We start from the raw sequence: 16,702 nt of genomic DNA on the forward strand, positions 1-16,702 counted from the left end.
TCGTGTCCCACAATCCTCCACAGAACATTTGAGGCCCTCACGGTCTGGAGCCAGGTTCCTGCTCTGCCTCACTCACCCCCATCCCCACTGCCCCTCCCCCAGACCCTGCACAGACCCCTGGAGATGCACCCCCTCCACCTTTGCTTCCACAGCTCCCTCCACATGGACACAGTGCCCGGGCTCTCTAGCTGGTGGGCTCTTTCTTATCCCACCTCCCCCAGGAAGCCTGCGTGGGCGCCAGGGACACAGGGATAAACAGGAAAGACAGGGTCCTTGCCCTCCTCGAGTTCCTTGTTCTGAGTCATTTTGCCATTGGTGATTCGGACCTGAGGCAGTTCCAGCTGAGCTCTCAGTCTTCTGAGCAGGAGCAGTGCGCTGTGTCCGAGCCTGTCTGTGTGCCAAGCATTGTGTTGGTGGCATAGAAGGGAGTGAGAAGTTGTCTCTCCCCATCCACAATCCCTGCCTCAGTGCCTAGCCGGCCGGGGTCCTGCCTGCAGGGGTGGCCTAGATTTATCAACACCTGAGGAGCAAACTGACACCCACAGAGGCATGTTCCCGCTCCTGGGTGATGCCCAGGCCCAGAGTGTGCTCCACAAACACAGAGACTTAAACTGAGCAATTGCTGAAATACAGCATTTTGGAGGCCAGGTGTTATCCCAGGCACAGAGAAGCTCTTTTTCCTAAGGAAATGGAGCCTGGCAGGAGGCCACCCAGCCCAAGGCCCTCTCTGCGGCGGGCCGGGCTGCGGAAGGACGGCAAGCAGACGTCCGGTGGCTGGACTTGGCCGGAGGCCCTGTCCTCAGATGTGTTCTTCAAGCTGTGCCTGCTCCTGGCAAGGCCAGACTTCCCCGCCCAGGGATGCTGGGAGGGCCATGGAGGGCCCGGGAGAGAAAGGCAGCAGCCGCAGCATGGCTGGGCTCAGACACAGGAGGAAAGGGGCTGCCGCCCGGCCCGGAAGCTGCTTGGTTCCCTGCCCTTTGCTCAGGCTGGGAAGGGGGCACACAGGGGAGGAGAACTGCAGTGGAGCCAAGTCCAGACACCGCCGCTGGGAAGGCTCATCAGTGACCACCCTTGTGCGCGAGTGGGGGCCCAAGGCTGGGGTCCCAGTCCTAACGCTGCTGCTGAGCAGGTGCTCTTGAGCAAGTCTCAGAGGTGCCAAGCCTCACCCTCCTCACCCATTAAGGCGGAGGCCAGAAGCCTCCAATGCAGGCCAGGACAATGGATGTGAAAACGTTTGCAAGTGGAGAGCGTGGAGAACCCTGCGGGCCGATGCTGGCGCGCGCCTTCACTCTCGTGGACACACATCTTTCATTTTCCACTGAGCACTGGTCCGAGATGCCGTCCAAACCCCCAGCCCCAGCCTCCGTTCTACAAGAGCAGGACCTGGCAGCCCCCTGCAGCGCTCCTCGCGGCCACACGGGGGCACTGTTGGAGCTCAGGGAAGGGACCCTCCACCCTCTGGCTGGGAGCTGCCTCCATCCCACCCCTCACTCAGGAGGTTCGCCCTCCACCCCACCCTTCACTCGGGGGTCCACCCCTCAATGAGGGTGACCCAGGCTGACCGAGGAGCCTGCTGGTGGGTGGGCGGGGGTCCCGATGGACGTGCTCCCCCTCCCGCCCCCAGCTCAGGCAGCTGTCCAAGCAGGACGGGACGACGGGGTGGTGGGGCTGCTGAGGGCTGGTGGGGCCAGTGACCCTTGGGTCTGAGCTTCAGCAGGCCCCTGACCGTCCCTGCTTCAGATGGCTTTGACGAGGGTGTGGGGGATTTCCCTCCAAGTCTTCTGACCCCTGACAGCATCTCCAAGGTGATGCCCCAGGCGCAGGGATGGGAATCAGCGCAAGAGCGTGGCCTCCAGATAAAGCCAAGACTCGGGTTTTTCGGTGCAGACCTACAGTCCCTGCGCCCTCCCTGCAGGCGGAAGCCTTTTGCAGGCAGTATGGGCTGGCAGGTGCGCTGTGGCTCCACCCCACCCCAGTGGAGAGCTGGGGTCGTGTCCCTGGCCTCAGTTTCCCCATCTGCAGCATGATGATAAGGTGACCTCCCGGCCCCCCATTCCAGGGTCTTGGCCAAGGCCCTGGAATGGGGAAGGGGTGTAAGAGGAGAGGCCCTGGTAGCAGCCCTGAAACCCCCGGTCCCCAGCAAGTGCCAAAGTGCAGGTGGGACCCTGGATCCACACGAGGGTTCTGATTCCATCAGAGTGTGGGAGGTCATTTGCCTCCAGGCAAGATTCCAGCAGCTTGCATTTCCCAGGGGCTGGTGGCCAGTTGGGGGCAGGCAGCTGAGGCCACACGTGGTCCATCCACTGCACCCTCACAGAGCCTCAGCCCCTGGCCCTGGGATCCAGGAGGGCCTGGATGGCCAACGCTCCCATTTCACAGATGGGGACATGAGGTGGGGGGTAACACCCACGGTCTCTGTTTATTGGTGGCATAGCAAGGACCCCAGTCCAACTCTTTTAGAGGGGAGCCCTGCTCTAACCCTGTGGAGGCAGAGATATGGGGAGCCCACATTTCCCCCAAGGTTTGGCTGTCCCTCTCCACACAACCAAATGGGGTGGCGCAGCAGTGAGGACCCGCTGGCTCTCCCTGCTGGGCCACCCCCCTCAGGGCCAGGATCGGGTTGAGTGGGCCAGCTACCCCTAGCGTAGCTCCACTCAGGGGCTGTGACCTCCCTGGGGTCTTTAATGCAGGTTGAGCTGAAGAAGGTGCTGGGGGCAGGAGGAAGAGATAGGGGCCGGGCTCAGCTGTGAGTCTGGGGCCTTAGGGGAAAGTGACCTCCAGCCCTGGTGTTCCCTCCCACTGCGAGGCCTTCTAGAATACAAGCCTCCAGCGGACGCTGGGCCACAGCCTGGGCCCACCCCGCAGAGGCCCCGGGCGGGAAACGGGCAGGCCCAGAAGGACCCACAGGTCGCGGAGGGGACGCCCTGCCTGTACCCGCCGGCGCAGGTGGCAGCGCAGAGTCCCTGGGAGGGGCCTGGGGAGTGGGCGGTGCCGACCCTCAGGACCACCCTGGAGCCGTGGGGAAGGAAGCAGCATCGGCGGGGTCCTAAGCGCTTAGGCTGGCGGCACAGGCCTCCGGACACGCCGACCTCCACCTTCCCTTCCTTCCCCTCCTCTCCCATCCCTGCCTCTCCCCTGCTTGCTCCTTCCCTCAGCCCTTCTCTCCTCCGGGTGGTTCCATGGGGGCGGCGCTGCCCTCACACTCCAAAGTCGCGCCCACTCTACGCCCCCTGCGCCCCCCTCTGCGTCCCCCTGCGCCCCCCTGCTCGCCCCCTCCTTCCCCGGTGCCCCCCGCCCACCTGCACGACCCCTGCGTCCCCCGCCCCCCCCATGCGCTCCCCCCGTGCCCCCGCGCCCCCGCGCCCCCTGCGCTCCCCGCTCCCCCCGTGTCCCCCTGAACGCCCCCTGCGCTCCCCCCGCGCTCCCCGCGCCCCCCTCCGGCTCCAGCTGGGCCGCGGCCTATTGCAGGCACCCGTCCACAGATGGAACCCATTACGCCCCAGCGCCTCTCGGGACGTCCCGCTAATAAGTGACCCTCTGTAAATGTTAGGAATGAGTCAAGTTTACTCCGCGCTGCAGCCTTCCCGTTAGCGGGTGGCGCCGCCGATGCCCGGGGGAGCGCAGGGCGGGAGCTGCTGAGCAGGCGGAGGGAGGGCGGGGCAGAGCCCTTCCCAGTCTGGGGGATTGAGCGGAGCATGACGGTCTCTGATCAAGGAGCCTGGGGTGCCTCTTGCCACCCTGCTGGGCCTCCGTTCTCCGCTGTGCAAAATAAGGGGTTTAGAACAGAATGGCTGAGCCCCTTCCAGCAGCTCTCCTCCTGGTTGGTGGTCTTGGCACCTGGGTCCCAGCTGGGCCCAGGAGGAGGAGCAGGGACTTCCCTCCCCCTCCCCCACTGGGCTGCTGCTCCCAAGGGGGGCCCATTACTCCCTCCAGAAGAAGAGGCAATGGGGGAACCTGCAGTGAAGGCGCCTCCCAAGACCTCCCAGGGGACTGAGAGACAGACCCTGGTGCACGGGCTGTCGGGAGGACGGGCGGGCTGGCCCCAGACCTCAGCTGATAGTGGGGAGGCGTTTGCTGAGTGGCTGCCCTTTGCAGGGCAGCAGAGTCGGAATAGGGCCTCTCCAGGCGCCATGCTGAGCCTGGGTCTGCGGTGACTCTCCAACCCCGGCGAGGGGGGCCGCGATCTTTGGGGTGCAGATGGAGGAGGAGGCCTGTGTCCAGGGAGCATCCGGGATAGCCAGACAGCATGCACCAGGTGCAGGAGGCCTGGCTGGGGTTGGGAGGAGGGTGGGGGAGCAGGGCACAGCCACCAGCCCAGGCCTGAGGTCAGAGTCCGGGGACGCAAGCAGGGTCTCAGGGAGGGCCAAGAGATGGGAGGCAGGAGGCAGCCAGGTGGTCACCCACGTGGACCCTGGTCAGGAGGAAAATCCAGGAGGCACAAGGTGGGGGAGCTGCCCTGCGGACCCCAGGGAGAGGGGTCCTCTGTGCTGGCGTGGGAGCCAGGCAAGGAGGACTTGGGTGGACTCTGGCGTGCCATGCTGGAGAGCCCTAGGAGTGGACATCCCCTCCCAGCTTCCCCTGGCAAGCATCCAGTCACCCTTTAGTAGTTAATTCACTGCCTGAAATTCAGATATCCTTAAGGCAGCAGGCCGGGGACAGCTGTGGCCTTGCGTATTCCTGCGGGATCCTGCCTGGGCTTCTGCTGGTTTGGCACAGGCGGCCTGTGTGTCCTGCCCACAGTCGGTAATCTATTTCACCTGGCAGGAGTCCCCTGCCCTGGGGTCCCGGCCCTCCCCAAGCTGTGCCCCTGCCCGGCAAAATGCCATTAGAGCCCAAGACCCTCAAAACCAGGCTGGGGTACCCAGGACACCCAGGCACTCCTGGGGCAGAAGGGCAGCCATTCAGCAAACACCTCCTGAGTGTGAGCCCAGGTCCTGGGCCTTCCTGCCCACTTCTGGGCCTATTGGAGCCTCTTCCCTGGCAGTCGGCTTTCATGAAGGACCCACCTGGGTCCCGATGGACCGAGCCTGTGGAGGGGCAGTGGGCAGCTGAGCAGAGAAGGATGGGTTCAGCCTCAGCCCTCTGACCCATCCTCAGCCCCCACCCCCCAACAAACACACACAAACACACTGGGCTCTGTGACTGCTGCGTGGGATCTAGGTCCCTCCTCTGGCCCCACCGTGCAAACAAGCTGTGAGACCACCTGCTCCAGGTGGGCGAGGATGTTGGGTTTCTTGTGGAGCAGAGGCAAAGGAACCTGCCTGTCAGCATCCCCTAGGGAACTGGCAACCGCTTAGCCAGCGCTCAGCCCAGCCCCCACCAAGACAGGGCAGAGCCCCAAGCGCAGTACCTGCTCCTGCTGACCTCGGCTGGGTGTGGTCCTCCTCTCCAGAACCTGGGGACAGGCGCAGCCCCACTCCGCAGGTGCAGAACCAAGGCATGCGCCTGAGTGACCTGCCCAGCCTCACCCTGTCCTCTCCAGGGCACTCTGCTGCCTTGGGGTGGCCCTGTGGCGGCTCCCATTCAGTGGGATCGTAGAGGGTGCCTGGCAGCTGTTGGGGGCTGCCATCTCCAGGTATCTCTGGGGGTGTCTTTCAGAGACTGGAGGACACCATCCTGAGTCCCACAGCCAGCAGGGAAGACCGGGCGCTGACCGTGCGTGGGGAAGGCCGGCAGGCCTCGCCCACCCCCGTGCCCACCCGCATCCGTGAGATCGTGGCCGGCAGCCTGAGTGAGGAGCCACCCCAAGGTGATGGTGTGGGGGACAGTCCTGGGCCCGGGGCTGGCCAAGGTGACGGCGTGGGGGACAGTCCTGGGCCCGGTGCTGGCCAAGGTGACGGCGTGGGGGACAGTCCTGGGCTCGCGGCTGGCCAAGGTGATGGCGTGGGGGACAGTCCTGGGCCCGGGGCTGGGCAAGGTGATGGCGTGGGGGACGGTCCTGGGCCCGGGGCTGGGCAAGGTGATGGCGTGGGGGACGGTCCTGGGCCCGCGGCTGGCCAAGGTGACAGCGTGGGGGACAGTCCTGGGCCTGCAGCTGGCCAAGGTGACGGCGTGGGGGACAGTCCTGGGCCTGGGGCTGGCCTCACCCCCCACAGGGCCACCCTCAGGGGCATCATATCGATACCCACAGGGCACTCAGCAGGGCCTGAGCAGGGCTGCCGCTGTGTGGCACACTTGTGGCCACCTGCGTCTCCGCTTCATTGGTGGTTTCTTCCTCAGCGTGGAAATGCTGGACACTGGCACTCAGGGAGCACAGACGCCCACCCCCCTGGGCTCTGCCTGTCCTGCACCCGCCCCAGGCCCCTGCTCTGCCTCCAATTATCCACCTGGCAGCTGAGGAAACAGCTCCAGGCCGCCTGTCCTGTGTGTGCCCAGGACTCCCTCGTGCATGGGTCCCAGGGATCCCTCTCTCCCAGGGTCTGTCCAGCCTCCTGCAGGCCCGGGGAACTGGCTGTGTGTGTATTTACAAAAGCACCTTATTACTCGGGGACCAGGTCCCTTCCCCCAGAAGCAACAGGGCTCACAACTTCATAGACAGCGCGAGTGCCCAGCGTCCAGGCCGCCCACACACTCTGCTGCCATTGGTTTGGGGCTCGGCCTGGGCCTGGGTCTGCATTGGGGTTCGAGGTGGTAGGATTGCAGTTAACATGAGAGGAAGTGGGGCTCAGAGTATGAAGTCTGCCTCCCTATGTTAGGGTCCCGGGCTCAGATCTGGGACCCCTCCCAGGAGATGGGGGCAGGTCCAGCAGCTGGAGCCTGGTGGCCAGCCCAGGGTCCCACCGTGGAGACAGGGCACAAGGCTGAGTGTGGGTGGGCCCTGGTCTGGCCACCCAGGCTGACCCAGGTACCGTGCAGCAGGGGTACAGGAGCCGACAGCCACTGTGGCCCGAGTGCAAGAGGAGAACGAGCTCCTGCAGGAGGAGCTGACCCGGCTGGGGGACCTGCTGGCCCAGGCCAGCGCCGAGCGAGATGAGCTGGCCAGCAGGTGCCGTGTGGTCAGCGAGCAGGTGCGTGTGTGCAGCAGACTCAGGGCAGGCGGGAGGTGGCAGCCTGGCCCTTCGTGAGGGGTCACTTGTCGGGACGGCAGTCAGAGCCTGGGACCATCGGCAATTTCTAAGACTCGGAAAGACAGAGTGTCAGCCACGTGACATTCAAACCCTGGGCAACAGACAGGGAAACTGAGGCAACAGATGGGATAACTGAGGCCAGAGGTGGGAGGCCAAGCAGCACGTGCCCAGGCCTTTCTGATGCCCAGCGTGTCCCCTAGGTCTCGCAACCTAGCTTAGGCACTGACTTGTCCCCGCACCTGCCCGGGAGCCCTGTGGGGTGGCCTGGCCAGTCCTGACTCGCGGGGCCCAGTGCTCTGCCCAGCACTGGCACAAAGCTGGCACCTGCACAGCAGAGGAAAGCAGGCCAGCAGGCACCGACCCCAACCCCAGATGGAGCTCGCAGAGAAATGGCTCCACCCCAGTTCCCTGGCCCTTTTCTGACAACTGAGGCTGGCCGGGGCCGCTTGGACCTCAGAGGAGAGGGGACAGAGGCAGGGCTGTATCTTTGGTCCCCTGGTGGCTGTAGTGCCTTCCAGGGTGACCTGTGAGGTGAGCAAGAGGCATATTTAGTCACAAAATGTGGAGCTGGGGAAGGCCTCCCATTGTGTAGACAGGGAAACCGAGGCAGAAAGGTGAAGAAACCTGCTAGGCCAGAGCCTCTCTCCTATGTCAGCCGCTCCAAGACATGCTGGCTTCTGAGGCAGGACTTGGCAAGGAGCCAGTGCGTGGAGTGGGGTGTCCAGCCCACCTTGTGGGGTACTCAGGGCCCCTGCCACACCCATGCCATCTTCAGAGCCCCCCTGGTTCTGCATGGCATGTCAGATGACCCCACTTTCCAGATAAGGAGTAGAGGCTCAGAGCCAGCCAGTGATCACCCAGGCCACACCACCATTACTGGGGCTGAGATCTGAACCCCTGAAGCAGATCTGGCCCCTTCTTAGTCACCTGACCAGTGGCCAGTACTGAATGCCTGAGGGGTCCCCAGGGGGCCTCACCTTCTAGAAGGGTCCTTCCCAGGATCATGGCAGCACCAGCCCCACAGCGGTGCCCTCAGCTCTCTGAGGGGCCCGTTCTCTGCTCCCCACCCAGTTCTATCACGCCCTGACCCCCACACGGGAAACACGTTTCCATCCATTGTTGCTGGCACCCCTGGGAGCCCCTGAGGGCAGGAGCTGGGGTCCACCCCACCTGATGGGGGCCCCAGCACATCCGTGAGCTGCCAGCCAGCCTACTCTTCCTGGGAGCCCCTACAGCTGTGGGGAGGCCTTGGGGGAGGCATCTTCCTAGCACAGGGTGGGGAGATGTTGGGAACAGGCCAGTGGGAATAGAAGCCACAGAAATGCTGCCGACAGATTAGTAAGCTGCGTGAGTCAGATCCAAACTCGCCAGCAGCCCAGTGCACGCCAGCTCCCGGGCGGCTCAGCAGGCAAAGTGTGGGTGCCAGGAGGCTGGGTCTAACTCCAAGTTACCCCCAAGACAGGCGGAACGGGGTCTGGGTGGCCAGAGTGCCTGACCATGGCATCTCCATCCTGGGGTGGCACCCCCAGACCCCGCCCGGCTCCTCCAGGGTCTTCCAACGCCACCTTCTCTTCCAGCTTGTGGCTGAGGAGGGGCCCCTTGGCTCTCCCATGCATTTGGCCCAGGCATAGCCACAGCTGAGGCCCCAGGCCTGCTGCCCTCCCCTCCACCCCTCCACCTAGGCCATCCTTGGCCCTTGATTTCCTGGGCCCAAGTTCGGTCTTGGCCCAGTGGTGGCAGAGTGGCCCTGGGCAGTGGGCCCACATCATGGTGGGTGTGGTCCTGCTCCCTGTAGGTGAGGTGCTGGACTCAGGCAGGAGGCCCAGATGGAGAGGAACCACACTCAATCTCCAGGGGGCAGCCCCAGAGGTAGCCCTGTGACCTTCCATCCTGCCCCTGTGTGCCTGAACCAAGCCCTGAAGCCCCTCCCCCTACACTGACGGCTGGGCTGCCCAGGTAGCTGGGGCAGTGGGGCCTCAGTTTACCCATCTGTAAATGAAATGTGGGCATGCTCCAGCAGCCCCCAGAGCTATGCCCCCACTGGGCCACCATACTCACACTGTCCTCAAGGCCTGATGGGATTGGCACATCAGTGCAACCCAGCATGCCCCTGCCCCTCCCCTCCTCTGCCAGCCGTGGGCACTTGGCACAGGGCAGGAGGCCACCTGTCGGGTTCATTGTGTGGAAGGGCCTGGGCCTCACCAGACCCAACCCCAGCCCCTGCTGTGGGGCCCCAGGGAGCCCTCTCTTCCCCACTAAGGTCGGCTTTGTGCCCAAGATGCCCCAGCCCCTGCCTGGCGGGTTCAGGAGCAGCCAGACCAGGTGGGCTATTGCTCCTCCCCAGCTGCAGGCCCGGCTGGAGACCACCGAGGCTCAGCTGCGGAGGTCAGAGCTGGAGCACAGCGTGGATCTGGAGGAGGCCCTTGGCCGTCTGGAGGCTGCCGAGGAGAGGTGAGGCCAGGTGCGGGGCAGTCAGGGCTGCAGGAAGCACAGCCATCCCCCCGAGAGGCAGTGGGACCCTCTGTGCCTTGGGGCTACTGACAGCTCTTCCCAAAGCAGCTGTGAGTTCAGTTTCCCTGTGGGAGCCAACCCAGGCCTCCATGGCCTGGCAGGGCAGGGCAGGGGGCTGGAGAAGGCACGGCTGGGAAGGGGGACTGACTTGAGTGGCTGGGCAGTGTGGGGGCCTGCAGCGCGCTCCCTCTTGCTGTGGGGAGACCCCAGGCCGAGTGGAAACAGTGAAACACTCAGCCTCCTGGGCTCAGCGTGGGCCTCTCACGCAACCAGGCACCACCGTCCCAGCCTCTGAGAGCGGCTCAGCAGCATCCCTATTATAGTAGCTGCATCACGATTGTACCCATCGCTATCAGACCCCTCCCCCGCTCCACAGGCCAGGAGCAGGGGCTGCTCACCATGGGGGACGGGACTGGTGCCAGCCTTCCACGTGGCAGCCTCTCCACGCTCTGCCATCCTCCCTGCCACGGGTCAACCTGGCTCATGAATAACAGGGAGGGAGTGGCAAAGAGAGACAGAGCCTCATGAATGACAGGGAGAGAGTGGCGGAGAGGGACAGAGCCCCCCCCGCCACCGCTGTCAGTGAGCACTGACATTAGGACCCTGGCAACAGACCCTGGCCACCAGCCACACCTGAGTCCAGTGTGTGGATCACCCACTCACACCCTGAGATGGAGCTGACGATGTCATGCCTGGGCTTATCAAGGGGGCCTCTGCCCGGCCCCCACCCTGCCTGTACTAACCCGGCCCCCCACACTAACCCAGCCCCCCACACTAACCCAGCCCCCACACTAACCCAGCCCCCAACACTAACCCAGCCCCCCACACTAACCCGGCCCCCACACTAACCCGGCCCCCCACACTAACCCAGTCCCCACACTAACCCAGCCCCCACACTAACCCGGCCCCCACACTAACCCAGCCCCCACACTAACCCAGTCCCCACACTAACCCAGTCCCCACACTGACCCAGCCCCCACACTAACCCGGCCCCCCACACTAACCCAGCCCCCCACACTAACCCGGCCCCCCACACTAACCCAGTCCCCACACTGACCCAGCCCCCACACTAACCCGGCCCCCACACTAACCCAGCCCCCACACTAACCCGGCCCCCCACACTAACCCGGCCCCCCACACTAACCCGGCCCCCCACACTAACCCAGTCCCCACACTAACCCAGTCCCCACACTAACCCGGCCCCCACACTAACCCAGCCCCCACACTAACCCAGTCCCCACACTAACCCAGTCCCCACACTGACCCAGCCCCCACACTAACCCGGCCCCCCACACTAACCCAGCCCCCCACACTAACCCGGCCCCCCACACTAACCCAGTCCCCACACTGACCCAGCCCCCACACTAACCCGGCCCCCCACACTAACCCAGCCCCCCACACTAACCCGGCCCCCCACACTAACCCAGTCCCCACACTGACCCAGCCCCCACACTAACCCGGCCCCCCACACTAACCCAGCCCCCCACACTAACCCGGCCCCCCACACTAACCCGGCCCCCACACTGACCCGGCCCCCACACTAACCCGGCCCCCCACACTAACCCAGCCCCCACACTAACCCAGTCCCCACACTAACCCAGCCCCCCACACTAACCCGGCCCCCACACTAACCCAGCCCCCAACACTAACCCAGCCCCCACACTAACCCGGTCCCCACACTGACCCAGTCCCCACACTAACCCGGCCCCCACACTAACCCAGCCCCCACACTAACCCGGCCCCCACACTAACCCAGCCCCCAACACTAACCCGGCCCCCCACACTAACCCAGTCCCCACACTATCCCGGCCCCCACACTAACCCGGCCCCCACACTAACCCAGCCCCCAACACTAACCCAGCCCCCCACACTAACCCGGCCCCCCACACTAACCCGGCCCCCCACACTAACCCAGTCCCCACACTATCCCGGCCCCCCACACTACCCCGGCCCCCCACACTAACCCAGCCCCCACACTGACCCGGCCCCCCACACTGACCCGGCCCCCACACTGACCCAGCCCCCACACTAACCCAGCCCCCACACTAACCCGGCCCCCACACTGACCCGGCCCCCACACTAACCCAGCCCCCACACTAATCCGGCCCCCACACTAACCCGGCCCCCACACTGACCCGGCCCCCACACTAACCCAGCCCCCACACTGACCCGGCCCCCACACTGACCCGGCCCCCACACTGACCCGGCCCCCACACTGACCCGGCCCCCCACACTGACCCAGCCCCCACACTAACCCGGCCCCTCACACTGACCCGGCCCCCACACTGACCCGGCCCCCCACACTGACCCAGCCCCCACATTAACCCAGCCCTGCACAGCAACCAAGGCCCACCAGTCTCCCAGACCTGGGGAGGTTAAGTTGTCTATAGAATATCGACACATTTGGTTCATCCTCCAGGAATCTGGAAAAGGAATCAAAGTGCTGAGAAACTTTTGAAAACCAGTTTTGAGGGGGAAGAAAAATAACCCAAGAGGAGGCTTAGGCCTGGCGGGGGTGCCGGCTCCCGAGGTCCACCCACCTGGCGGACTTGCACCCCTACTGCAGCAAGTGTGGACCTACTTGTGGTGGGGAAGTCCCCAGGGTGCAGCAGAAGCCGTCCCCCACCACGGGCATGTCTGACTCCCTCTCCGCGTCACCCCGCCCCGCGAAAGGCACCTCCCTCCCAGCCCCTGGCACCTTGTCTCAGGCATTGAGGGACGGGCCAAGGTTGCAGAGCCAGAGCCAGGAGAGCTCGGGGCAGGGGCAGATATCGCAGGGAGGCAGGAGGGCACTGGGCTGGCACCTGGGAGAGCCACCTTGATGCTGGCACTCAGTTTAGGGGTCCTTTGTGGGGCCCATGGCAGGTGGGGGCAGAGCAGCGGCTGTGCACCTGAGCCCAGGTCAGTTAGGCCCAGAGGGTTTGGGGTTCCATTCAAGCCCCTTGACTTGGGGACTCTGAGCGCCTCTCTTAGGAGAGGCTTCCTACCCCCACCATGCCCTGTGGGTTCTCTGTCCAGGAGCACCGGCCTCTGTCAGGTGAACGCGCTCCTGCGGGAGCAGCTGGAACATATGAAGAAGGCCAATGACGCGCTGGGCCGGGAGCTGGCCGGGATGACGGGCAGCGTGCAGCGCCTGCAGGGCGAGCTGGAGCTGAGGCGCTGGGCCCAGAGACAGGTGCTCCCCCAACCCTTGCTCACCTCATGGCGGCCGCCTGTCTGGGTGCCTATGGCTGGGTAGCAGGCAGGGACATGGTGAGGGTGCACTGGCTCAGTGGCTGTCCCTCTTGGGGACGAGGCCACAGCTTCTTGCCACACCATGTCCCCAACCCGGCTTGGCCACAGCAGTCTGTGGAGTGAGGGACTTCGTGGTCCACCCCTACTGCCCCCCACCCGGAGAAGGAGGGCAGGGATCTCAGAATGGGGCACTGGGGCCGCACCCCAGCTCTGGTGTGGACCACGCTCTTTGGAGAGGCAGGTTGTTCTCCGTAGGCCGAACTCCTGGCCAGACTTCAGGAGCAGGGACCTTGGAAGGAGCCTGGGGCTGCACTGCTGCTCACAGCACCTGGCCGTGGCCCCCCAGGTCCCCCTGCAGCCTTTCCCACTCCAACTTCTGAGACCCTGAGGCATGCAGGGGGTCAGGGCACAGAGCTCCAGGCACCAGCCCCTGTGGGAGGGAGACATCCAGGTGTTCATGCCCTGCTCGGATCTCTCCATGGTCGTGGGACCCCCTGAAGCTGCTGTGGCCTTGGGTACCGTGGCTCTCCAGCCAGGCAGTCCCTGAGGGCCTGAAGGTGTTCCCAACAGCCCTCCAGCAAAGGGGGACTGGACGCCCAGCCCCTGCATGCTATGGGCACCACGGGCAAGGATTTCCCCAGGAAGACGGGCCCCCCGGAAGATGTGCTGCGCCAGGTGGAGGCAGGAGCCGGAGGGGCAGCCGCGTTTCTGGCCTCCAGTTGCCTCCACAGACGTCCCTCAGACAAGCCTGTCCCAGAGGGGCCGCCACTCGCCCCCGAGGTCCCAGCCCCGAGCCCCCCACAGCTGCTGCTCCTGAAAGGCAGGTGTCAGACAAACCAGCCGAGGTTTACACCCCGAGAGGGAATGCCGGCCTCTGCATAGCGTCAGCGGGAGCCGTGCTATCAGCAAGGAGTCATCGCCTATGCCAGGCCTTCTGGCTCGAGGCGTTTGAGGCAGATCTCATGTTCCCACTGCCTGGTCCCTGTCCTTGGACCGCTGGACAGGTCACCTGAGGATCCCGGGAGCCGATTCTGCTGTGTGAGAACAAATGCCAGAAGGAGAGGGTCCCTGAGCTCAGTTTGGCATTCGATCACCCAGGTCTTTATTTTCCCTTTGTCCTTGAGAACTGTTCTCACTGGTTGACAGCTGCTTTCTCTCGGCACCTTAAAGATATGCTTTCTCTTTCTCCTTCCGCTGCTGCTGTTGAGAAGTCAGCTTCCAGGCTGCCTGGATTCTGACTGGCTCCTTATCGAAGTAACATGTCTTCTCACCGGCTGCTCTGAAGACCCCTGCTCCGACTTGTTGTTGTGTCGTGTCCCTGTGTTGTGTCTGCGTGTAGATTTATTTGTTTATCCCGCTTTAGGGTTCGCGGAACCTCTGTGTCGCTTGTTATTTTGGGGAAGTCAATATTCTTTAAACATTGCCGGGGCTCATCATCCATCTCCCCTCCTCTGAGCTCCGGCTAGACATGTGTTAGCCATTCTTACGCTGTCTCCCAGGCACAGTTCACGGATTTGTTCTTTTTATTACCCTAGACTATATTCTAGATAATTTCTTCAAATTTCCTTTCCAGTCCATCAGTTTTCTCTTCTGATGTCTAATCTCTGTTAAATTTGCCTACTTAGCTTAAATTGCCAATATTGTATTTTTCCTCATTAAGAGTTCTGTTTGATTCTTTCCCAAATATTAAATAGCTTACTCTTAACTCACATTTTCTTTTTTTCTTTTTGAGACAGAAGCTTGCTCTGTCACCCAGGCTGGAGTGCAGTGGCACAATCTCAGCTCACTGCAACCTCCGCCTCCCGGGTTCAAACGATTCTCCCGCCTCAACCTCCTGAGTAGTTGGGATTACAGGCGTGTGCCACCACGCCTGGATAATTTTTGTATTTTTAGTAGAGATGGCATTTCACAATGTTGACCAGGCTGGTCTCGAACTCCTGACCTCAGGTGATCCGCCTGCCTCAGCCTCCCAAAATGCTGGGATTACAGGCATGAGCCACCTCGCCTGGCTTCTTAACTCACATTTTCAAGCCTTTTATTTATTTGTTGAACCATGTTAAAAATAGTCTTTTTGTAGCCTGTGTCTGACTATCCAATATCTGAAATTCTTTAAGGTCTGGTTCTATTGTTTCTGCTGGTTTCTGATCATGGTCCTTTGTTTCCTTGTGCCTTTGGTGATTTTTTATTTTTTAACTAAGAGCTGCTTATTTTCCTTGGAACTCTGTGAAGTTTCTTTGAAACCTGAGGTGAATACAGTATTTTCTAGGAAGGGTTTTTATTTGTTTCTGATAGATGCCAAGGGGCTCTAACAGTCTTTGGGGCCACATTGAAGTACATTTTCAGCTTCAGTTTTCTTGAGACTATCCTGGTGATGTAGTGTGCTTCCATATCCACAAGGAAGACTTTTTTCTCTGTTTAACTCCGACATTCTGGACAGGCAGTTTTCCTTATAATCTCTTGCAGGGTCATGTGTGCCTGTTTTGTGTGTGTGTGTGTGTGTGTGTGTGTGTGTGTAGCAAGAAATTGCGTACACTCCCCGATGGTCTGTGACTTCACCAACTCCTGGCCTAAGTGTTCCAGCCGTTCAGGCCAGCCCAGCCCTGCATTCAGGAAGAGGCTGTGAATCTGGACTCTCATGAGTTTAAGCGGCAGGTTAATCTGGCAGCCACACCTCCATGTTGCCAAGAAGTGTCTCAGCCTGCTCTTGTGATGAACACGGAGTGCAGGAGGCGGTGCGGCTGAAGCAAGCGTCTACCCCGTACAGCAGGCACGGGGTGGCATGCCCTCGGAGGGCGTGCAGACAGGTGTAACGGGCTCAGAGGAGCACGCCCTCGGAGGGCGTGCAGACAGGGGTAACGGGCTCAGAGGAGCATGCCCTCGGAGGGTGTACAGACAGGTGTAATGCACACAGAGGGGCATGCCCTCTGGAGGGTGTATGGCCAGGTATGGGTTCACAGAGTCATGCCCTCCAGAGTGTGTATGACCAGGTGTAATGGGCTCAGAGGAGCATGCCCTCGGAGGGTGTATGGCCAGGTATGGGTTCAGAGAGTCGTGCCCTCCAGCGGGTGCATGGCCAGGTGTAATGGGCACAGAGGGGCATGCCCTCTGGAGGGTGTACAGCCAGGTGGAATGGACACAGAGGGATGTGTTCTCCGGAGGGTGTATGGCCAGGTGTTATGGGCTCAGCTGGGGGGAATCTCAGGTGTGGGATCAGGTGAGGGGGTCAGGCAAGCTTCATGAAGGTGAGTTGATCTAATACCTGAAGTTCTTCAAGGTCTCGTTCTATTGTTTCCGCTGGTTTCTGGTCATGGTCCTCTCTGGGGGTTCTGGAGAACGGGCAGGATGTGAGTGCTCTACCTGAAGGCACCCTGGAGGAGCAGGGGTGGGGCTGTCACAGGCAGGCAGAGGTGGTAGAAACACAGTAGCACCCTGAGTTCCAGAGGTCAGTGAGCAGGAGAAGGTGAGTGCAGGGCCTAGAAGGTGGTGTGGAGACTCTGAGACTTCTGGCTTTCATCTTAGCTCCCTGCAAGGCTGGAACCACTGTGCACACACAATTCCCCCCATTCCTGCCCCCACACAGAGTCCTCCCACTCCGCTCCGTTACAGCCTAATCACTGGCCTTGTCTCGGTTGTGGCTTCCCACCCTCCTCCCTGCTGAACTGGGTACCCAGTGCTAGAGGCTTCTAACTTGCTTCTGTGTCCCTGGCACCTTCGAAGTGCCAGACCAACACCTGGACATCTTCAGGAGCCCTCCAGAGTAAGGAGAAAGACTGTACTGGAGAAAGGCAGCCCGTCCTCTTCCATTGGAGTGGCAGGGCAGGAGCCCTGTGCTGCAGAAATGTCTGCCCCAGCAGGGGCCAGGCCTGGTTCTGGGGTGTTCCAAGCCTGAG

At 62.4% G+C, this 16,702-nt stretch overlaps 1 protein-coding gene across 2 annotated transcripts in view; it reads left to right on the top strand.

Moving 5' to 3' along the window:
• The window catches only part of CROCC2 (ciliary rootlet coiled-coil, rootletin family member 2), an 86,976-nt gene that overhangs the window by 6,792 nt on the left and 63,482 nt on the right, over positions 1-16,702 (top strand). For both annotated transcript variants that reach the window (XM_024453115.2, NM_001351305.2), the window contains exons 2-5: positions 5,599-5,749; positions 6,856-7,007; positions 9,412-9,518; positions 12,597-12,753. In XM_024453115.2, the coding sequence (XP_024308883.1) occupies positions 5,599-5,749; positions 6,856-7,007; positions 9,412-9,518; positions 12,597-12,753 (567 nt within the window). The remainder of the gene's footprint in view (positions 1-5,598; positions 5,750-6,855; positions 7,008-9,411; positions 9,519-12,596; positions 12,754-16,702) is intronic.

This window comes from Homo sapiens, chromosome 2, assembly GCF_000001405.40.
Source record: "Homo sapiens chromosome 2, GRCh38.p14 Primary Assembly".
Taxonomy (NCBI): Eukaryota; Metazoa; Chordata; class Mammalia; order Primates; family Hominidae; genus Homo; species Homo sapiens.